The sequence below is a fragment of the Homo sapiens genome, chromosome 5, assembly GCF_000001405.40.
Source record: "Homo sapiens chromosome 5, GRCh38.p14 Primary Assembly".
Taxonomy (NCBI): Eukaryota; Metazoa; Chordata; class Mammalia; order Primates; family Hominidae; genus Homo; species Homo sapiens.
This window is the reverse complement of record NC_000005.10, coordinates 161,712,631-161,719,659: the sequence shown is the minus strand read 5'-3', so window position 1 is coordinate 161,719,659 and position 7,029 is coordinate 161,712,631. Positions and strand designations below refer to the sequence as shown.

Here is a 7,029-nt window from a genome sequence, read left to right as displayed (position 1 = left end):
GACTTATACAATGAAAACTGCTAAACATTGCTGAAAGAAACTAAAGAAGACATATGTACATACAAATGTTAATGAATTGGAAGGCTTAATATTGTTAAAATGTCAATACTACCTAAAGTAATCTATAGATTTAATACAAATGTTATTAAAATTCCAATGATGTCTTTTGCAGGAATAGAAAAAAGCTTCTAAAATGTATATGAAACTTCAAGATATCCTTAATAGCCTAATATGTCTTATAAAATAGAACTAAAGCTGGGAGACTGACACTTTCTGATATCAAAACTTACTGCGATGTCACAGTAATCAAAACATTGTGACACAGGCACAGAGACATACAAAAATAGAATAGATAATCATGAAATAAACTCTCAAAAATTTGTTAAGTGATTCTTGACAAGGAGGCCAATACCATTTAATTGAGAAAGGACAGTTTTTTTTAACAAATGCTGATGGAAAAATTAGATATTCACATGCAGAAGAATGAAGTTGGATCTTTACCTAACACCGTATACAAAAATTAACTCAAAATGGATCAAAGACCTAAATATCAAACCGAAAATGGTCAAAGTCTTAGAAGACAAAGAGCAAATGTTTCATTACATTGTATTTGGCAACAATTTGGGGGATGACACCAAAGTCACCGGGAACAATAACAAAATAGAAAAAGTAGACTTTATGAATCGTTTTTCAAATTGTGCATCAAAAGACATTGTCAACAGAGTAAAGAGGCAACCCATAGAATAGAAGAATATATTTTTAAATCATATAACTGATACAAATTAATATCTAGAATACATAGTTATCTCCTAAAATTCAATAACAATAAATGAATAACCTGATTAAAAAATGGGCAAAAGGCTTGACTAAACATTTCTCTAAAGAAGATATAAAATGGTCAACAAGCATATGAAAAGATGTTTAACATCACTAACGATGAGGGAAATGCAAATCAAAACTACAATGAGATACTACCTCACACCCATTAGGATGACTACTACCAAAATACCCAGAAAATAAGTGTTGCTAAAGGTGTAAAAAAAATTTAAACACTTGTGCACTGTTGGTAGGAATGAAAAATGGTATGGTCACCATGGAAAACAGTATGGTGGTTTCTAAAAATATTAAAAATAAAATTACTATATTATCCAGTAAATCCACTTCCAGGTATGTACTGAAACAAATTGAAAACAGGGTTCAAAGAGATATGTAAATAAATATGTTTATAGTAGCACTATTCATCAAAGCTAAAATGTGGAAGCAGCCCATGCATCCATTGACTCACGATTGGATAAGCAAAATATGGAATATACACCATGGAATATCATATATCCTTCAAAAGGGAGGAAATTCTGACATTTGAGGCAACATGGATTAATCTGGAAAACATTGTGCTAAGTGAAATAAACAAGTCATAAAAAGATTGATACTGTCTGATTCCACTTACATGAGGTGGTTAGAGTAGTCAAAATCATAGCAACGAAAAGTGAAATGGCGTTGCAAGAAGCTGCTGGGAATGGGGAATGGGAAGTCAATGTTTAATGGGTTTAGAGTTTCGGCTTAAAAGAAAAAGTTATGGAAATGGATGACGGTGATGTTTGTATAACATTATGAATGTATTTAATAACACAGAACTGTGTACTTTAAAGTGGATAAAATGATAAAGTTTTTGTTGCTTGTGTTTTATCATGATAAAAAATTCAAAAAAACAACATCGTCTATGAAAGTCCAAACAGAAGCTGTGAAATACATCTCTAAGCTAATATTATAGTAGTTTTTGACCATATTATTATATTTTATGTGAGCTTTGTTTAGGTTTGGCATGAATTATAACATTATGGGTTAGAATGGTATAAAATTACTAAACTTTGAGAATCACAACACTTCTAGACAAAGCATAACAATTGACTTGCTATCAAAATCTCAGAAAATCATTTGACCACCCATCTCCCTATTTTCTTATTCCCAAAAGAGGAATTATGGCACCTCTTCATAAGTATTTCACTGAGATTCCAAGTTGATCAACTTGGAAAATGGATTTCATTTTCAAATGCCTTGAAATATATAAAACAAGCGGACAGCAGTCAAATGTTATCAATGAAATGATAAGTGAAATTTTATAGAATGAATAAGCATACAAATATTATACTTATGAATAAGTATACAGATATGTTTCTCTCATTAAACTTAGAAAAACTTGTTTGTTCTTGCACATTAAGATTTATATGACAAGCTGACATTTAAATTTGTTTGAAATAACCTGGGTGTGGTGGCTCACGCCTGTAATCCCAGCACTTTGGGAGGCTGAGGCGGGCCAATCATGTGGTCAGGAGTTCAAGACCTGCCTGGGCAAGAACAGCCTGTCCAATATGGTGAAACGCTCTCTCCACTAAAAATACAAAAATTAGTCAGGTGTGGTGGCAGGCACCTGTAATACCAGAAACTCAGGAGGCTGCAGCAGGAGAATTGTTTGAACCCAGGCGATGGAGGTGGCAGTGAGCTAAAGATCACGCCATTGCACTCCAGCCTGGGTGACAGAGTGAGACTCTGACTCAAAAAAAAAAAAAATTGTTTAACATAAAACTACAGTGCACACATACACACACAGATACATTAAAAGATGTACTGTGGATTTACTTGACCTCACCAAAATTAATAAATAATTCACTATTATAAATTATTGATATCACATTACAAAGCTTATTCCAAACAATGAGAGAATTGCATTGATTTTAAAAAATTAAAATTAAAAGAAACATTTAAGAAATCTTGCAGGAAAACATGTTTCATTATTCGCTCCCTTTCCTATGGAGGCAAACAAATTGAATCAGGTAAATATGAGCTTATAGAAATGACTGCTTGAATGAAATGACATTTATAGCATTATATAGATTTGTTTGGTCATTAGTTTAAAAATGTTAATTTTTAAAACAGATTTTTAAAATTATTTGAACTTTATTGAACTTCTGAGTAATTGACTTCACAAATTAATGCATGATTGGTTTCAAGAGGAAATCAAGAAGGTACATACAGTGCTTCACAGGAGTCTAGAATTTATGCTAAAACAAAAAAGGAAAGAATCTTGCAACTTAACAAATGGACTGATATGGGCTGAATGTGTGTGTTCCCCCTAAATTCATACAATGAAGCCTAAATCCCTAATGCAGTGCAATTTGGAAGCGGGGTCTTTCAGAAGCACTTAGGACGTGAAGGTGCAGTGCTAATCATGGGATTAGTGTACTTGTAAGAAGAGAACTGAGAGAGATGATTTTAATCCCCCTCTCCACTACATGTGAGGACAAAATGAGAAGAAGCCTGTTTGCAAACCAGGAGGAGGGCCCAAACCAAACACCAAATCTGCCTGTGCCTTGATCTTGGACTTCTCAGCCTCCAGAACCACGAGAAATACATTTCTGTGGTTTAAGTCAACTAGTCTATGGTATCCTGTTATGATTACCTGAGCTAACTAAGTTACAAACCAAAGAACCTTTATACCCATTGATTTAATGCTTTTAAAGTCAGTTTAAACATTAATTTTTTAGTTGTGGCATCATAGTAAATATCCAATATGAACTTTATTTTTTAATCTAATTTAGAAAGAAATAATTGATATCATTTATCTGAGTTCAAAACAACTGGTTAGCTACATTGGTTATGTCCTAATAAATTTTACTTTATCAGGTAAGTATGTTTTCTCTTTTCCTACCATAGTCTAGAGGTCTAGAGTGTTTTTCACATTTCTGTGAGTGGATTCATGACTGGCATTCTCTTGTGGTAATTCTAATTATGGACATATTCTGATCAAGAGTTATCAGTTGAACAATCTTCATGCTATAGATAAGCCCTGAAGTTAGTGAGCTCCTGCATACGTCAACTGTTAATCTAAATGTTTTTGGTATTTCGTTTGTTTGTTTGTTTCATGTATCAGAAACAACATCTGTTCCAGAGGGCATTCCTCTTATATATTGAAAGTAAAATATATCCTTATGCTTCTATGAGCACTTAAACCCAAAATGCTCACAGACTGAAGAGAGAAACATTGAACAATCTAATAGAATGAGAGGACTAGAAGTCAAGGGTACACCAATCAAGAGTGTAACTTGGGGTAAGTCAATTTAATATTCTGGTTTTCAGGTTTTTTTTTTTTTTTTTTTTTGAGATGGAGTCTCGCTCTGTCCCCCAGGCTGGAGTGCAATGGCGCGATCTCGGCTCACTACAAGCTCCGCCTCCCGGGTTCACGCCATTCTCCTGCCTCAGCCTCCGGAGTAGCTGGGATTACAGGCGCCCGCCACCACGCCAAGCTAATTTTTTGTACTTTTAGTAGAGACAGGGTTTCGCCGTGTTAGCCAGGATGGTCTCGATCTCCTGACCTCGTGATCCACCCGCCTCGGCCTCCCAAAGTGCTGGAATTACAGGCGTGGGCCACTGTGCCCGGCCATGTTTTTTTTAATATCAGATAGAAGTGTTGGTCTCTGCTGAATCCTTTGAGGTACAGCTGCCAAACAGCGGAAGTACACTTATTCTGGGGAATAAAGTTGAACAAAATTAAGTTTGCATCTTTTTATCCTTTTCATAACCTTTTTTTTTTTTTTTTGGACAAAGTCTTGCTTTGTCTTAGGCTGGAGTACAGTGGCACGATCTCAACTCTCTGCAACCTCTGCCTTCCAGGTTTAAGCGATTCTCCTGCCTCATCCTTCCAAGTAGCTGGAACTACAGGTACATGCCACCATGGCTGGCTAATTTTTATATTTTCAGTAGAGACGGGGTTTCACCATGTTGCTCAGGCTGGTCTCAAACTCCTTACCTCAAGTGATCCGCCACCCACCTCAGCTTCCCAAAGTGCTGTGAGGCACTGTGCCAGGCCCCTTCTCATAACCTCTTAAAACAGATTGTGCTCTAGCAATCAGTGATTTTCTGTTTTTCTCAAAGAAGCAAAAAATGCTATTGAAATTTAAATCAAGAAAGGGAAAAAATTGGAGATAATTGTGGTGAAATCATGATGATAACTTAAGGTATTCAGGTTTTATTTTTTTTAAAATAAACAACTCTCTAGCCATGATTCAATTAATTATCATAATGTCCCCTTGAGGAAGTTAAGTTGCTGGCATTTTTTGATGAATAAAGATGCTATATTTTACTCTGAGAGGTATCTCTCACAGCTTTATTTTTAACATTAATTGCCCTTTGTCTAGAACATGGTAAAGTATTGCAATAAGAACCGCATATGTTCTTTTCATGTGGTCAAAAATATATTGTCTTCAGTTGTATTTTATGAATTTGATATATCAAGAAATGTAATTCTGTACTACAGTTTAGTGCATTCAAGCTCTTAGTTTTCCGAATAAATAAGAATTTAATAACTAAATTGACTTTACCAGCCTTCATGAGCTTATCGGCTCTTCCATTAATTTACTGTGTGTTGTTGCCCAAGTTCTTTAAGTTTTTTGTCCCTCATTTTTTCCTTTATAAAAGTTGATAATTAAATTACTCTGTTAATATTTTAATTTCTTAGATGCATTGTACAAACTTGAAATAATTTTATTGTCATTATGCCTAATACCAGTCTTTATCAGTTAAAAGGAAAAGTGTCAATGGAAACAATGACTAGATGTTTTATATTCCAATGTTCTAACACTTCCTTAAGTTTGCAGAAATGTCTGTGCAAAGCATATATCTCAATAGGTGTCACTTCCTTATTATTTTGTTTTCCATTGAAGAAGAGAATTATGGATAGGGCAAAAATAAAGTTTGAGACTTTCTTTAGAGGTTTTAGGTATATATAGATTCATAGAGTGCTAGAGCTGGAAATGACCCTGGTAATAATGTGGTCCTGCTCTCTCATTTTTCAATACATTAAAGCTGTGTAGTATAGTGATTAAGCAAAAGTATTTGGAGACAGATAGACCTGAGTTTGAATATTGACTCTACCACTGAAGAACTCTATAGACTTGGCCAAAACCTAGTCCCTCATCTTTTTAAGTTTTATAATTGAGTTATTTATTTCTAATTTGTCAAACCATTGGTGATAAACAAAGCAATACATTCAAAATACTTGTATGGAGAATAAAAGAGGGAAGAACAGGGGATTTAAAAGAAATAGAGTGGTGTGCTTCTTTTTTCACAGACCTACCAGAAGAGTTTTTTTTTGTTTTTTTTTTTTTCTGCTACTAATGTTCTTTGATTCAATTTTCCATTGCTCTTCTTTTTCTCCTCCTCTGGACTGGGCCATGGATAAGGCGTGCATAGGCATTGGCATGTGGATATGCCTACTCTGCCTCTGTATCTGTTAACTTCTATTGCAATAGTTTCCATTGAGAACTACAAAATGAACAAGTTTGGGGAGTGAGCCAATTTGATAAAGATCACTTTCTCTTCCTGTGTTGCTTAACGCCCCAGCAGAGTATGGCACTCAACTACTAATGTCTTCTTCATTAGTGCCATATTGTGTTGTAAATATCTCTATTAGCACTTCTTTTCCTGGATTCTAATTATCTGCTGATGTTTCTTTTCCCTAGACTGAGTTCCTTGAGGTCATAGGGTATATATTATTTTTTTCTTTTAAATTTCAGTATAGATTTAGGACATGATAAATGCTCATGATGAATGGATGAAGTTTACATTTCAGGTAAATAATGGAAAATATGTTTATAAAAAGGGGAAATACAGAAAACCTTGCATATGATGTGTATTGAATTGCAAATCAATCTATGAAGCTGTGAGAGCATGACATACATAATTTATGGTCATCATATTTGATAAGTTTGCGTGTGTTTAGCATGCCCCTGTCTATGCAGGCTCTCTTTTAAACTTAATGATTGCACTTGATATGAATATAAATATTTGCTTTTTTATATATATATTTTATTATTATACTTTAAGTTTTAGGGTACATGTGCACAATGTGCAGGTTAGTTACATATGTATACATGTGCCATGCTGGGGTGCTGCACCCATTAACTCGTCATTTAGCATTAGGTGTATCTCCTAAAGCTATCCCTCCCCTCTCCCCCCACCCCACAACAGTCCCCA

General features: G+C 34.6%; 1 annotated feature.

Moving 5' to 3' along the window:
- Positions 6,122 to 6,728: an enhancer, noted in NCBI's record as "OCT4-NANOG hESC enhancer chr5:161139938-161140544 (GRCh37/hg19 assembly coordinates)". NCBI's record gives its function as "activates a minimal SCP1, AML or CMV promoter by ChIP-STARR-seq in primed H9 embryonic stem cells {active_cell/tissue: H9 hESC(primed)}" and the evidence as "EXISTENCE:reporter gene assay evidence [ECO:0000049][PMID:30033119]".